This window comes from Homo sapiens, chromosome 4, assembly GCF_000001405.40.
Source record: "Homo sapiens chromosome 4, GRCh38.p14 Primary Assembly".
In the NCBI taxonomy this organism is placed as follows: domain Eukaryota; kingdom Metazoa; phylum Chordata; class Mammalia; order Primates; family Hominidae; genus Homo; species Homo sapiens.
The window spans coordinates 15838481-15855596 of NC_000004.12; the positions used below are offsets into that span (position 1 = coordinate 15838481).

Sequence of the window (17116 nt, forward strand, 5' to 3'; positions counted from 1 at the left end):
CACCATTGTTCACACCGTTCCCCCATATGACCTGCCTCCCCTGCTCCCCTGCTCCCTTCTGTCTAAATCTTCACCATCCATGAAGACCTGCCTTGACCCTCCTCTCCTCCAGGAAAATTGTGTACCCCAATTCAGTAGTAAAACTACTACCGGGAACATCGGGAACTGTGCTGGGCTCTTGGCCTTCACTATCTTTTTGCAGACATTGTCAACAATGTACTGTAGTGGTTGAAAGCAGGTACTGGCGGTCATTACATATCATCTGTGTGACCTCAGGCAGGGCAGTCAACCTCTGTGAGCCCCTGAATATGTACCAAAGAGTTGATGGTGATGGGAAGATTAACTGAGACAACAGATGAAAAATGCTGAGCTCTGTGCCTGACAACAGAGAAAGTGCTCAATGAGAATCAGCTATTATTCTCATTTGCTGATCCTTGCCACTGAATCTGGCCACACCTGTGCCTTCCTTGGCTGATCTCCTTCTATATTTACAGTTTTTACTATGTTGATTACCTTTTCGGCCTTTGTTCTCTAATTTTTGTTCTCTAATCCCACATAAGGCTGACTGAAAGGAGGAAGCATATATTAATTTGCCTTATAAACTCTAGGTGCCCCAAATTAATTTTTCTTCTCTCCTGTTTTAATATTTAATTCTACAAGGAAGCATTTGTCCTTTCGTCTTCTGATCCCAATTTTTTTGGGTAAAAGCATTAACATTTCAGAATTTTATGATCTAATATTATGGTTCAAGCACTTGAAACAGGAGTGTCAGTTGTCAGAGACTAACAGGGAAGAGTTTAGGAATGGGATTAGGGCAGGCAACCATAGTCTTTCAAAGCATTGCCTCTCAAACTTCACTGAGCATGTGAATCACGTGGGGATTGTTCAACTGCAGATCATTTCAGCAGGTTATAGTGGTTGAAATTCTACATTTCTTTTTTTTTTTTTTTTTTTTTTTTTTGAGATGGCGTCTCGCTCTGTTGCCCAGGCTGGAGTGCAGTGACACGGTCTCCGCTCACTGCAAGCTCAGCCTCCCAGGTTCACGCCATTCTCCTCCCTCAGCCTCCTGAATAACTGGGACTACAGGCACCCACCACCACGCCCAGCTAATTTTTTGTATTTTTAGTAGAGACGGGGTTTCATAGTGTTAGCCAGGATGGTCTCGATCCCCTGGCATCATGATCTGCCTGCCTCGGCCTCCCAAATTGCTGGGATTACAGGCATGAGCCACCATGCCTGGCTGAAATTCTACATTTCTAATGAGTTCCCAGGTGATGTTCATTAGGTTGGTCTAAGGACCACTCTTCAAATAGCAAATATTTAAAGAATCAACATTAATGCACAAATTAAGAATTTTATTTTGAGAATCTTGTTAACCGAGGGTCATGCTGAATAAGAAAAGGTTATTGACTGATTTGCAATTTGATGTGTCAACTCTAAAGGATAGGTCCTAGCCAGTGCCTTTCTGCCTGCTGGTTGTTGAGGGGGGTGTGGATGCTTTCGTTTGGGGTTGATGTTTGGGGTTCTTTGTTTCTTCTATTTTAGCACTTTTGGGAGTGTGGAAGTCCATAATTTGCAACCAGAGAAGGTTCAGACACTAGAGGCCTGGGTGATACATGGTGGAAGAGAAGATTCCAGGTATATCTTACTACTTTGTACCCAAGTGTTATTTTATGAATCAGTCCACAAAAGAATCCACAGTCACAAGCACGCACTGGGAACAAATTGACTCAGGAAATGAAACTACATGAATGTGCATGAATCCCAACAGCCTCTTAACTTTATCTCCACAAAGGATATTTAACTGCTTGACACTTCAGCTCTCCTGCTGACCCAGGAGCTCTTAGAGGATTTACCTCTACTTTACCTCTTTATCCAAGGGCCTTGTCCAGGGCGTGCTACAAAAACAAAGAGACTCCAAAAATGTTTGTGAGATCTTGTAATTTTAATACTTTCTTCTTTCTTCCCCAGAGACTTATGCCAGGATCCCACCATAAAAGAGCTGGAATCGATTATAAGCAAAAGGAATATTCAATTTTCCTGCAAGAATATCTACAGGTAATTAATTTCTTCTTGAAGAAAAAAATGACTGTCTTGTCACCTGTAGAATTTCCTTTTTTCCTTAGCCTCCTCTGAGCTTGGAGGGCTGTGTGAATCTTTCTTGGGCCTTGATGATGATCACAGATGGCAACCTCTGGTGATCTCTGTCCCTCCTTCCAAGCCGAGTCCAGAAGGTATCCAAGCTAGTGGCCTTCACTTGGCTGCCTTTCCTCATCCGTCTCTATTGATCCCAAGTAGGACTTGCCTCTAAAGCTGACACAACCTTTGATGGCATATTTTTTCATTCCCAGTGTGAGTGGCCCAGTCCAGGGTTCACTGGCCTACTAGGTTTCAGGGGAGCAAGGGAATGTTTTGCTAAGCCCTTTCTCCCAAGTTGTAAAATCCTTGTGACTTGACATCATTTTGCAAGTGAAGCTTCCTTAGTTGGATCTGAGTACAGATGCCTAACACATGACAAGGCGTCACACGGCAGTCTACCAAAATCTATATTTTTTAAATTAAAAAAAAAAGTATTTACAAAATTTTTCTGATAATTTGTGTTTATTAGAAAACAGTTTAAAATTACAGATAGATATATATTTTTTAAAGTCACATATAATTCTAGTTTCAAAACTGAGACCCCTCACTCATTTTTAAGCAGTTGTGACCAATGGTGTAGGTAGGTACTCATTGGTAGAAGCATCTTTGGAGATTTTTCCACGTATAATAGCTTGGAACAAGATTGATGCAGAGAGGAAAAGCTGTTCAAAGGAGGTAGAAGCTGAGATGCTAGAATATTGTTCCTGTTTCCATGTCACTACCTTCTCTCACTAACCACATCAGAAAAGCAGAAGGATAGATTCTGGAGACTCTACTGATGGCTTTTGTTTCCCAAATGACCTGAATTCCCCATGAGTCACCTTGCTTCTATCTGGAAACAGCCAGAAAAGGCCATGAGCATTCTACAGCAGTTAGACAGGAAAACAGAAAGAATGAATGAAGGAGCAACTGTAAAAGCAATCTTGCGGCGGAGGAGCCAAGATGGCCGAATAGGAACAGCTCCGGTCTACAGCTCCCAGCGTGAGCGACGCAGAAGACGGGTGATTTCTGCATTTCCATCTGAGGTACCGGGTTCATCTCACTAGGGAGTGCCAGACAGTGGGCGCAGGCCAGTGTGTGTGCACACCGTGCGCGAGCCGAAGCAGGGCGAGGCATTGCCTCACCTGGGAAGCGCAAGGGGTCAGGGAGTTCCCTTTCCGAGTCAAAGAAAGGGGTGACGGACGCACCTGGAAAATCGGGTCACTCCCACCCGAATATTGCGCTTTTCAGACCGGCTTAAGAAACGGCGCACCGCGAGACTATATCCCACACCTGGCTCAGAGGGTCCTACGCCCACGGAATCTCGCTGATTGCTAGCACAGCAGTCTGAGATCAAACTGCAAGGCGGCAACGAGGCTGGGGGAGGGGCGCCCGCCATTGCCCAGGCTTGATTAGGTAAACAAAGCAGCCAGGAAGCTCGAACTGGGTGGAGCCCACCACAGCTCAAGGAGGCCTGCCTGCCTCTGTAGGCTCCACCTCTGGGGGCAGGGCACAGACAAACAAAAAGACAGCAGTAACCTCTGCAGACTTAAGTGTCCCTGTCTGACAGCTTTGAAGAGAGCAGTGGTTCTCCCAGCACGCAGCTGGAGATCTGAGAACGGGCAGACTGCCTCTTCAAGTGGGTCCCTGACCCCTGACCCCCGAGCAGCCTAACTGGGAGGCACCCCCCAGCAGGGGCACACTGACACCTCACATGGCAGAGTATTCCAACAGACCTGCAGCTGAGGGTCCTGTCTGTTAGAAGGAAAACTAACAACCAGAAAGGACATCTACACCGAAAACCCATCTGTACATCACCATCATCAAAGACCAAAAGTAGATAAAACCACAAAGATGGGGAAAAAACAGAACAGAAAAACTGGAAACTCTAAAACGCAGAGCGCCTCTCCTCCTCCAAAGGAACGCAGTTCCTCACCAGCAACAGAACAAAGCTGGATGGAGAATGATTTTGACGAGCTGAGAGAAGAAGGCTTCAGACGATCAAATTACTCTGAGCTACGGGAGGACATTCAAACCAAAGGCAAAGAAGTTGAAAACTTTGAAAAAAATTTAGAAGAATGTATAACTAGAATAACCAATACAGAGAAGTGCTTAAAGGAGCTGATGGAGCTGAAAACCAAGGCTCGAGAACTACATGAAGAATGCAGAAGCCTCAGGAGCCGATGCGATCAACTGGAAGAAAGGGTATCAGCAATGGAAGATGAAATGAATGAAATGAAGCGAGAAGGGAAGTTTAGAGAAAAAAGAATAAAAAGAAATGAGCAAAGCCTCCAAGAAATATGGGACTATGTGAAAAGACCAAATCTACGTCTGATTGGTGTACCTGAAAGTGATGTGGAGAATGGAACCAAGTTGGAAAACACTCTGCAGGATATTATCCAGGAGAACTTCCCCAATCTAGCAAGGCAGGCCAACGTTCAGATTCAGGAAATACAGAGAACGCCACAAAGATACTCCTCGAGAAGAGCAACTCCAAGACACATAATTGTCAGATTCACCAAAGTTGAAATGAAGGAAAAAATGTTAAGGGCAGCCAGAGAGAAAGGTCAGGTTACCCTCAAAGGAAAGCCCATCAGACTAACAGCGGATCTCTCGGCAGAAACCCTACAAGCCAGAAGAGAGTGGGGGCCAATATTCAACATTCTTAAAGAAAAGAATTTTCAACCCAAAATTTCATATCCAGCCAAACTAAGCTTCATAAGTGAAGGAGAAATAAAATACTTTATAGACAAGCAAATGCTGAGAGATTTTGTCACCACCAGGCCTGCCCTAAAAGAGCTCCTGAAGGAAGAGCTAAACATGGAAAGGAACAACCGGTACCAGCCGCTGCAAAATCATGCCAAAATGTAAAGACCATCGAGACTAGGAAGAAACTGCATCAACTAATGAGCAAAATCACCAGCTAACATCATAATGACAGGATCAAATTCACACATAACAATATTAACTTTAAATATAAATGGACTAAATTCTGCAATTAAAAGACACAGACTGGCAAGTTGGATAAAGAGTCAAGACCCATCAGTGTGCTGTATTCAGGAAACCCATCTCACGTGCAGAGACACACATAGGCTCAAAATAAAAGGATGGAGGAAGATCTACCAAGCCAATGGAAAACAAAAAAAGGCAGGGGTTGCAATCCTAGTCTCTGATAAAACAGACTTTAAACCAACAAAGATCAAAAGAGACAAAGAAGGCCATTACATAATGGTAAAGGGATCAATTCAACAAGAGGAGCTAACTATCCTAAATATTTATGCACCCAATACAGGAGCACCCAGATTCATAAAGCAAGTCCTCAGTGACCTACAAAGAGACTTAGACTCCCACACATTAATAATGGGAGACTTTAACACCCCACTGTCAACATTAGACAGATCAACGAGACAGAAAGTCAACAAGGATACCCAGGAATTGAACTCAGCTCTGCACCAAGCAGACCTAATAGACATCTACAGAACTCTCCACCCCAAATCAACAGAATATACATTTTTTTCAGCACCACACCACACCTATTCCAAAATTGACCACATAGTTGGAAGTAAAGCTCTCCTCAGCAAATGTAAAAGAACAGAAATTATAACAAACTATCTCTCAGACCACAGTGCAATCAAACTAGAACTCAGGATTAAGAATCTCACTCAAAGCCGCTCAACTACATGGAAACTGAACAACCTGCTCCTGAATGACTACTGGGTACATAACGAAATGAAGGCAGAAATAAAGATGTTCTTTGAAACCAACGAGAACAAAGACACCACATACCAGAATCTCTGGGACGCATTCAAAGCAGTGTGTAGAGGGAAATTTATAGCACTAAATGCCTACAAGAGAAAGCAGGAAAGATCCAAAATTGACACCCTAACATCACAATTAAAAGAACTAGAAAAGCAAGAGCAAACACATTCAAAAGCTAGCAGAAGGCAAGAAATAACTAAAATCAGAGCAGAACTGAAGGAAATAGAGACACAAAAAACCCTTCAAAAAATCAATGAATCCAGGAGCTGGTTTTTTGAAAGGATCAACAAAATTGATAGACCGCTAGCAAGACTAATAAAGAAAAAAAGAGAGATGAATCAAATAGACACAATAAAAAATGATAAAGGGGATATCACCACCGATCCCACAGAAATACAAACTACCATCAGAGAATACTACAAACACCTCTACGCAAATAAACTAGAAAATCTAGAAGAAATGGATACATTCCTCGACACATACACTCTCCCAAGACTAAACCAGGAAGAAGTTGAATCTCTGAATAGACCAATAACAGGCTCTGAAATTGTGGCAATAATCAATAGTTTACCAACCAAAAAGAGTCCAGGACCAGATGGATTCACAGCCGAATTCTACCAGAGGTACAAGGAGGAACTGGTACCATTCCTTCTGAAACTATTCCAATCAATAGAAAAAGAGGGAATCCTCCCTAACTCATTTTATGAGGCCAGCATCATTCTGATACCAAAGCCGGGCAGAGACACAACCAAAAAAGAGAATTTTAGACCAATATCCTTGATGAACATTGATGCAAAAATCCTCAATAAAATACTGGCAAACCGAATCCAGCAGCACATCAAAAAGCTTATCCACCATGATCAAGTGGGCTTCATCCCTGGGATGCAAGGCTGGTTCAATATACGCAAATCAATAAATGTAATCCAGCATATAAACAGAGCCAAAGACAAAAACCACATGATTATCTCAATAGATGCAGAAAAAGCCTTTGACAAAATTCAACAACGCTTCATGCTAAAAACTCTCAATAAATTAGGTATTGATGGGACGTATTTCAAAATAATAAGAGCTATCTATGACAAACCCACAGCCAATATCATACTGAATGGGCAAAAACTGGAAGCATTCCCTTTGAAAACTGGCACAAGACAGGGATGCCCTCTCTCACCGCTCCTATTCAACATAGTGTTGGAAGTTCTGGCCAGGGCAATCAGGCAGGAGAAGGAAATAAAGGGTATTCAATTAGGAAAAGAGGAAGTCAAATTGTCCCTGTTTGCAGACGACATGATTGTTTATCTAGAAAACCCCATCGTCTCAGCCCAAAATCTCCTTAAGCTGATAAGCAACTTCAGCAAAGTCTCAGGATACAAAATCAATGTACAAAAATCACAAGCATTCTTATACACCAACAACAGACAAACAGAGAGCCAAATCATGGGTGAACTCCCATTCACAATTGCTTCAAAGAGAATAAAATACCTAGGAATCCAACTTACAAGGGATGTGAAGGACCTCTTCAAGGAGAACTACAAACCACTGCTCAAGGAAATAAAAGAGGACACAAACAAATGGAAGAACTGCTCATGGGTAGGAAGAATCAATATCGTGAAAATGGCCATACTGCCCAAGGTAATTTACAGATTCAATGCCATCCCCATCAAGCTACCAATGACTTTCTTCACAGAATTGGAAAAAACTACTTTAAAGTTCATATGGAACCAAAAAAGAGCCCGCATTGCCAAGTCAATCCTAAGCCAAAAGAACAAAGCTGGAGGCATCACACTACCTGACTTCAAACTATACTACAAGGCTCCAGTAACCAAAACAGCATGGTACTGGTACCAAAACAGAGATATAGATCAATGGAACAGAACAGAGCCCTCAGAAATAATGCCGCATATCTACAACTATCTGATCTTTGACAAACCTGAGAAAAACAAGCAATGGGGAAAGGATTCCCTATTTAATAAATGGTGCTGGGAAAACTGGCTAGCCATATGTAGAAAGCTGAAACTGGATCCCTTCCTTACACCTTATACAAAAATCAATTCAAGATGGATTAAAGATTTAAACGTTAAACCTAAAACCATAAAAACCCTAGAAGAAAACCTAGGCATTACCATTCAGGACATAGGCGTGGGCAAGGACTTCATGTCCAAAACACCAAAAGCAATGGCAACAAAAGACAAAATTGACAAATGGGATCTAATTAAACTAAAGAGCTTCTGCACAGCAAAAGAAACTACCATCAGAGTGAACAGGCAACCTACAACATGGGAGAAAATTTTCGCAACCTACTCATCTGACAAAGGGCTAATATCCAGAATCTACAATGAACTCAAACAAATTTACAAGAAAAAAACAAACAACCCCATCAAAAAGTGGGCGAAGGACATGAACAGACACTTCTCAAAAGAAGACATTTATGCAGCCAAAAAACACATGAAGAAATGCTCATCATCACTGGCCATCAGAGAAATGCAAATCAAAACCACTATGAGATATCATCTCACACCAGTTAGAATGGCAATCATTAAAAAGTCAGGAAACAACAGGTGCTGGAGAGGATGCGGAGAAATAGGAACACTTTTACACTGTTGGTGGGACTGTAAACTAGTTCAACCATTGTGGAAGTCAGTGTGGCGATTCCTCAGGGATCTAGAACTAGAAATACCATTTGACCCAGCCATCCCATTACTGGGTATATAACCAAATGAGTATAAATCATGCTGCTATAAAGACACATGCACACGTATGTTTATTGCGGCACTATTCACAATAGCAAAGACTTGGAACCAACCCAAATGTCCAACAATGATAGACTGGATTAAGAAAATGTGGCACATATACACCATGGAATACTATGCAGCCATAAAAAATGATGAGTTCATATCCTTTGTAGGGACATGGATGAAATTGGAAACCATCATTCTCAGTAAACTATCGCAAGAACAAAAAACCAAACACCGCATATTCTCACTCATAGGTGGGAATTGAACAATGAGATCACATGGACACAGGAAGGGGAATATCACACTCTGGGGACTGTGGTGGGGTCGGGGGAGGGGGGAGGGATAGCATTGGGAGATATACCTAATGCTAGATGACACATTAGTGGGTGCAGCGCACCAGCATGGCACATGTATACATATGTAACTAACCTGCACAATGTGCACATGTACCCTAAAACTTAGAGTATAATAAAAAAAATAAAAAATAAAAAACAACTCTCAGAAGCAAAAAAAAAAAAAAAAAAAAAAAAAAAAGCAATCTTGCAGATATCTGACGAGTCTAAGCTGTTCAAAGATATGTTGCATGGAGAAAATAGAATAGTAGAAACCTAGACAAAGACTGGGAAATAAAGATGGTCTTATCCCCAATACTCTTTTACCTTTTTTGTCTTATGAAACATTAACCTTTTTCTCATAAATGACCAGAAGACCTTTATATTATAATTCGTCAACTCCCCTCATTTGTGTCTGCTTTAGGCTCCAAGTGAGCTCACTCATTCTCCATCTGGAAAGAAAATATGGGCATGGCTTCCATTTGGACTTGTACAGACAGTGGCCCATAATGGGAACCAGGTGACACATCACAAGGGCAGGTTCTGACACCTCTTCCTTCCAGAAGCCCAGGGGTGCTGGCAGCTGCTTCTGAGGATCTCTCTCTTCCTTGGCTCATATTTAGCAAAATCAAATTTAAAGAACCCCATTCCTCGCTATCCACCATCCCCCTATTCATGTGCCAGCCACTCCTATTGGATCCTGTTGCTTTAGCTAATTTTTATGAAAATAATAGTCATTCACCTGTTAGGTACTTATCTAAGGTTTGTTTCAAAGCAAGTTTGGTCCCCTTGCTGAGGGTCTCCAGCTTTTTCCCAGACTCTGCCTCTGACCCTGGATTCAACATTCCCTCAGGAAGCTTCGGAAGAGAGGAAAGCAAATTAGCCACAGAAGCTGTGGGGGTCCGTGGCCTTGGTTGCTGCTCCTGCTGTTTTTTTGACCAGCAGGTGGCATGGATAGCTCCCCTCCCGACATGTCACTGCAGGAGAGGAGTTTATATGGATGCTAAGTGGTCTGTGCACCTTGTCGTCGCTAAAAAAGGGGCTTCCTCCATTAGCGAATTGGACGACAGATGTATCCTACGGTCTCTTGATTTCCTTTTTTGCTTTCTTGTCATAGACCTGACAAGTTTCTTCAGTGTGTGAAAAATCCTGAGGATTCATCTTGCACATCTGAGATCTGAGCCAGTCGCTGTGGTTGTTTTAGCTCCTTGACTCCTTGTGGTTTATGTCATCATACATGACTCAGCATACCTGCTGGTGCAGAGCTGAAGATTTTGGAGGGTCCTCCACAATAAGGTCAATGCCAGAGACGGAAGCCTTTTTCCCCAAAGTCTTAAAATAACTTATATCATCAGCATACCTTTATTGTGATCTATCAATAGTCAAGAAAAATTATTGTATAAGATTAGAATGAAAATTGTATGTTAAGTTACTTCACTTTAATTCTCATGTGATCCTTTTATGTTATTTATATATTGGTAACATCCTTTCTATTGAAAAATCACCACACCAAACCTCTCTTATTAGAACAGGCAAGTGAAGAAAAGTGAATGCTCAAGTTTTTCAGAAAGCATTACATTTCCAAATGAATGACCTTGTTGCATGATGTATTTTTGTACCCTTCCTACAGATAGTCAAACCATAAACTTCATGGTCATGGGTCATGTTGGTGAAAATTATTCTGTAGGATATAAGCTACCCACGTACTTGGTGCTTTACCCCAACCCTTCCAACAGTGCTGTGAGGTTGGTATTATTTCATTTTTTAGATGAGAAAATGGGAGCTCAGAGAGGTTATATATTTAAGTTGGTGCAAAAGTAATTGCAAGTTTTGCCACCGAAAGGAATGGCAAAACCACAATTATTTTTGAACCAACCTAATAATTTACCGTAAGTCCTACATTTAGTATCAAGCTAGAGACTGAATTTGAACTCAACTCTGTCCAACTCCAAAATTCATGTGCTTTTTCCTTCTAGGCCTTTCATACCAAACTAATAGTAGTTTATATTCTCTTCCAACAAATGCATATTGGATTAAATTGACTAGAATGGAATCTGGAATATAGTTCTTCTGGATGGCTCCAAAACACATGTTTTTCTTCCCCCGTCTTCCTCCTCCTCTTCATGCTCAGTGTTTTATATATGTAGTATACAGTTAAAATATACTTGTTGCTGGTACTGGCAGCTTATATTTTCTCTCTTTTTTCATGGATTAACCTTGCTTGAGGGCTTTAACAATTGTATTACTTTTTCAAAGAACTAAGCTTTAGCTTCATTGATTTTTTTCTATTTAATTGGGTTTTGCTCTTCTCTTTAGCATTGGAAACATAGAAATGCTTTCTGATTTCTTTGGGTAGATTTACGTATTCAGCTTCTTGAGATGGAAGTTTAGATCACTGATCCTTCAGCTTGTTTTCTTTTTTGTATACATAGATTTTAGGACGATATATTTTCCCTTGAGTTCTGCTTTAGCTGCAGCTCTTATGTTTTGATATGCCTCTCTTTATTATCCTTCAGTTAAAAATATCTTTCAATTCATTGTTATATAAAAATATGTGCCTAGTTTTTAACATCTGGAGATTTTCTAGTTTTGAAAAAAACATAAGCCAGGCATGGTGGCTCACACCTGTATCCCCAGCACTTTGGGAGGCCGAGACGGGAGGATCGCCTGAGCTCAGGAGTTTTTACACCAGCCTGGGAATAACAGTGAGACATTATCTCCAAAAAAATTACCTGGGTATGGTGTTGTGCACCTGTAGTCCCAGCTACTCTGGAGACTGAGGTGGGAGGATTGTTTGAGCTTGGGAGGTTGAGGCTGCAGGGAGCTGTGATCACACCACTGCACTCTGGCCTGAGTGACAGATTGAGACCCTGTCTCAATAAAAGCAAAAATAAAGAAAATAAACCATATGTGTTGAACAAAGGATTAATAAATTAATTTGAGACTCCTTCAGGGAATGACCACAATTTATTGAAAATAGCCTAAATGTTGGAGTCAGGCATTTCTGGATTCATATTTTGACATCATGCTGTCATCTTGAACAAAATGCCTAACCTTTCTGAACTTCAACTTCCTTGCCACTCAAATAAGGATTACAAAACTTAAAATGTGGTAAGTACTAAAGACGACAGCAAAAATTGAGTCCAGCACAGAGCTTCCTAAATAAGCAAGCACTCAACAGAGTTGGTTCCTTTCTTCCTCCCCTGCTTGACAATCCAGTTTCCCACAGGAGCCTTTGTAGCTGTAGCCACCATGGTCAGTCCAGGGATTCTTCACTAGCCCCTTCTCCCCTGGCAGACATCCTTGTGGGAGTTTAGTCTTGGCTCGACATGAGGATGGGGGTTTGGGACCAGTTCTGAGTGAGAATCAGACTTGCCCCAAGTTGCCATTAGCTCCCCCTGCAGAATGTCTTCAGAATCGGGGCCCGGTCAGTCTCCTGGGTGACCTGCTGTTTTCCTCTTAAGATCCTTTCCACTTTGGTTGCTGCTTTCGGGACTCATCGAGTCCTTGCTCAACAGGATACCCCTTGAAGTGGCTGCCTGGGCCACATCCCCTTCCAAACAAGAAATCAAAATATTAGAAATCAATTTTTGAAATTTCCCCTAGGAAGACTCATTTGAGTGTTCAAGTTCAGAGCCAGTGGAGACCTTAGGGGAGGGTGGTCACAAGGATTTTGCACAGTGCTTTAGAGGGTCCCAGGGAGCCACAGAGGTGGTGAGGGGCTGGGTGCTCTTTTCTCCGTGCATGACCTTGTGTGTCTATCTTCATTACCACAATGCCTCATCTCTACCTCCTTTCCCCCTGTAGTTCCAACGTGGGTATCTTTGCCATCTCTGGCCCGAAGGACTTTCTGACCTACATGTATAAATACCCCCTCACAATATATATTACTTTTCCTATAAGTGACTTCTCTACTGGATTACTGGTTGCTCATACACCTCATATTTTACTCGTAAATCTACTACTCCCTGTCTGCCTACTCCATTCTCATTTGCTGTAGAAAATTCTCTTACCATCCCAACTTTCACCCACCATCATGCTTACCCAAAGGCTGTGGGAATGACCTGGGCCCTAATGCCCCTTTTCTAAATTCCTAAGGCTCACCATTTTCCTATTGTAATGGTTCTTGACCTTATAATGTTTGAGGCACCTTTTCAAATATAGTCCTTTGATTTCAGACTGAATACTTGAAAGGACACACACACACATACGTAAGTGCATATGACTGCATACACCCACACACACACACGTGCCTGTATACAGTCATATGATACATACACAAACACACGCACACAAGCCTGCATACATCATATGCCAACAGTGGGGATATGTTCTGAGAAATGCATCATTAGATGATTTTGTCATTGTGTGAACATCATAGAGTGTACTTACACTAACCTAGATGGTCTAACCTACTACACACCCAGGCTACATGGTATCACCTATTCCTCCTAGGCTACAAGCCTGTACAGCGTGTGTCTGTACTAAATGCTGTGGGCAATTTTAACCTGATGGTAAATGTTTGTGTATCTAAACATATCTAAACATAGAAAAGGTACAGTAAACATGCAGTATTATAATCTTATGAGACCGTCATCATATATGTGGTCCACTGTTTGGGCCATCATTGGCTGAAAAGTGGTTATGCGACACATGACTGTATATATACTTTCCTGTTACAACAACAGTGTCTCTCAATCCACAGTAATTGCAGCATCCAGTAGGTCTTACTTTAGCCCTGAGTCACCATTTGTGTCAACGTGTTTAGTGCCATGTCCACGTCTCTCATGTAACTGGCAGAGCTATCAAATATTTTGGCAAAACACATTGTTTCTTTGGCTTTGCCTTGGTAACTTTCTGTGCCTTTTGTAGCTCTTGTTTGGAAGAAGCTCAACCCATGTCTGCACACTGTGATACAAGGGGGACAGCATCGACATCGACTTACTTCTTGGTGCCTTATTCCTCCTTAGAACAATTCCTAAATCTGTAACTTAAGTTTCTCAGGAAGATTCCATACTGCACAGAAAACTGCTTTTGTGGGTTTTTAAAAGGCAAGTTGTTATATGTGCTGGATAGTTTTTAAGTATGACATAAAAATTGTATAAAGTAAAATATTAAAATACACCTAGAATACTGTATAACTTTAAGTCATTTTATCAACACATTGCTAATCCAGATATTTTCCCGCAGTTTTTCTTTGAATAACAGAGCAATTAATTTACTTTTACTATGAAGAGTCATCATTTTAGTATGTATTTTAAGCAATCCACCAAGAACTCAGTAGGCAGCTGAGAGGTGCTGCCCAGAGAAGTGGTGATTAGCTTGGCCTTAGCTCACCCACACAAAGCACAACAGGCTTTGAACTATTCCCTAACGGGGCATTTATTCTTTTTTTTTTTTTTTTTTGGGAGACGGAGTCTCGCTGTCGCCCAGGCTAGAGTGCAGTGGCGCGATCTCGGCTCACTGCAGGCTCCACCCCCTGGGGTTCACGCCATTCTCCTGCCTCAGCCTCCCAAGTAGCTGGGACTGCAGGCGCCCGCCATCTCGCCCGGCTAATTTTTTGTATTTTTAGTAGAGACGGGGTTTCACCGTGTTAGCCAGGATAGGGCATTTATTCTTGAACTTGATTCAGAGAGGCACACATTACCATTCTCTAATCAGAATGCAAGTAGCGCAAGGCGGTGGAAACTATGGAATTCGGAGGCAGGTGATGCATTGGGCGAGTTTATTAACATCTGTGACTCTCTAGTTTGAAATTTATTTGTAACAGACAAAAATGAATTAAACAAACAATAAAAGTATAATAAAGAACTGTGCTGAATAATTCTTTTAAAAGGAGTTGTCTCTGGGCTTGAAAGAACTAAGGGACATGTTCAGTGGGTGGCACATTGCTGAAGACAACAGGACTTCCTACCTACTGCACTACACGATTGAGTGAGTTAGGTAGCTGGGGAAAGGATGGGTCACTGTCCTGGTGTGTCTCAGTGGTGGAATAAGCGGGAATAGATGCCAACAAGAGTCCAGTGCTACTGTCTACAAAGACCTGAAAATCCTTACTCACACCTCTTTATTCTTCAACACATTGAAGAAGAATGTTGTTTGCTTTTCAGTAGGAGTCTCACATTCGAGAATCACGTGATGACGCATCTTTTATTCTCTATTAAGGAGACTCACCTTGAGACCTCACAGGATTTAACATAATGAAAACAACATGTGTGATTATTTTTTTAAAAAAAACTTTTAAGTTCAGGCATACAGGTGCAGGCTTGTTACACAGGTAAACTTGTGTCATGGGGGTTTGTTGTACAGATTATTTCATCACCCAGGTATTAAGCCTAGTACCCATTAGTTATTTTTCCTGATCCTCCCCCTCCTCACACCCTCCATGCTCCAATAAGCCCCAATGTTTGTTGTTTCTCACTGTGTCCCAAGTGTTCTCATCATTTAACGCCCACATATAAGTGAGAACATGAGGTATTTGGTTTTCTGTTCCTGCATTAGTTTGTTAAGGATAACAGCCTTCAGCCCTATCCATGTCCCTGCAAAGGACGATCTTGTGTGTGATTCTTAATAAGTGACATAAACATGAAACAACACTTAAAGACTTGATGCAAAAGACCTGGCAGGGTGGCTCGTGCCTGTAATCCCAACATTTTGGGAGGTCGAGAACGGAGGATTGCTTGAGCCCAGGAGTTCGAGACCAGCCTGGGCAACATAATGAGATCTCATCTCTGAAAAAAACTAAACAAAAATTAACCAGGCATGGTGGCATGTTCCTGTAGTCCCAACTACTTGAGAGGCTGAGGTGAGAGGATTGCTTGAGCCCAGGAGATCAAGGCTACAGTGAGCTGAGATTGTGCCACTGCACTCCAGCCTGGACAATAGAAATTTAGTTGCTGTCTCAAAACAAACAAACAAACAAAACAAAAAACAAAAAAACTTGATGCAAAATGCCAGCCTGCAGAAAAGAGAAAACCAATGTTTATTGTACAAGGTACTTCACACATTGTATCAGCCTGTGCTCTCAGCTGCAACAACAGAACACCACTCTGGCTGTGTATTAGGGTTCTCTAGAGGGACAGAGCTAAAGACAGATAGATATATGAAAGGGAGTTTATTAAGGTGTATTGACTTGCATGATCACAAGGTGAAGTCCCACAATAGGCCGTCTGCAAGCTGAGGAGCAAGGAAACCAGTCCGAGTCCCAAAATCTCAAAAGTAGGGAAGCCAGCAGTGCAGCCTTCAGTCTGTGGCCAAAGGCCTGAGAGCCCCTGACAATCCACTGGTGTAAGTCCATGAGTCCAAAAGCTGAAGAACTTGGAATCCGATGTTCGGGAGCAGGAAGCATCCATCATGGGAGAAAGATGGAAGCCAGAAGACTCAGCCAGTCTAGTCCTCCCACGTTCTTCTGCCTGCTTTTATCCTAGCTGCACTGATAGCTGATTAGATGGTGCTCACCTAGATTGACTGTGGGTCTGCCTCTCCGAGTCCACTGACTCAAATGTTAATCTCCCTTGGCAACACCCTCACAAACACACCCAGGAACAATACTTTGCATCCTTCAGTCCAATCAAGTTGACACTCAACCATCACAGGCTGAAAGTGAATTTTCTAAAAACTATCAAGAGCTTATAGATTGTCTGGGAGGGCGAGAAAATAGTTTGGAAGCCACTTAGCCAAGAACAACACTCCAGATTACTCTACTGGCTTGTCAGGTAGAAAAGTTGCCGCTTGCCCTATGGACACTTGGCTGTCGCTCTATCACTGCCAGAACACAGACATGGCTATTTCTGGGAACAGAAGTAATGAAAGAGAATGGTGGATGGTGCATGGCACCTGCTTTCCTTCCTCACCAGCCACAGATTCACGGTTGCACAGATACATTCAGTGTGTAGGGCCTGATACAGGTAAAATGCTTAGGACAGAGCTCAGTTTCTCTGTCTGTAAAATGGGAGTGATAAGAGTGTCTATCATTTTGGGTTGTTTTGAGCATTAAGTAAGGTGATATGTGCAAAATTTTTAGGATAATGCTTAATACATATGAAGAACTGTATCAATGTTAGGATTTTTATTTTTTTATTTTTATTTTATTTTATTTTTGAGACTGTTTTTATTCCGGAGGAAATTCCTTGACAAGCCTACCTAGTTTAGATGCTGAGACCCTGAGACCTAGGG

The 17116-nt window shown here is 41.9% G+C and overlaps 1 protein-coding gene across 2 annotated transcripts in view, besides 1 other annotated feature; it reads left to right on the plus strand.

Moving 5' to 3' along the window:
• CD38 (CD38 molecule) overlaps positions 1-14752 on the plus strand; it is a 74905-nt gene extending 60153 nt beyond the window's left edge. For both annotated transcript variants that reach the window (NR_132660.2, NM_001775.4), the window contains 3 exons: positions 1546-1638; positions 1972-2058; positions 10059-14752. Coding sequence is in view for 1 of the 2 variants with exons in the window: in NM_001775.4 (NP_001766.2) it covers positions 1546-1638; positions 1972-2058; positions 10059-10122 (244 nt within the window). In the remaining variant the exon portion in view is untranslated. The remainder of the gene's footprint in view (positions 1-1545; positions 1639-1971; positions 2059-10058) is intronic.
• Positions 14250-14443: a silencer, noted in NCBI's record as "fragment chr4:15854353-15854546 (GRCh37/hg19 assembly coordinates)". NCBI's record gives its function as "represses an EF-1alpha promoter that drives an FKBP-Casp9 reporter gene in an ReSE screen in K562 erythroleukemia cells {active_cell/tissue: K562}" and the evidence as "EXISTENCE:reporter gene assay evidence [ECO:0000049][PMID:32094911]".
• Positions 14753-17116: the final 2364 nt, after the last annotated feature.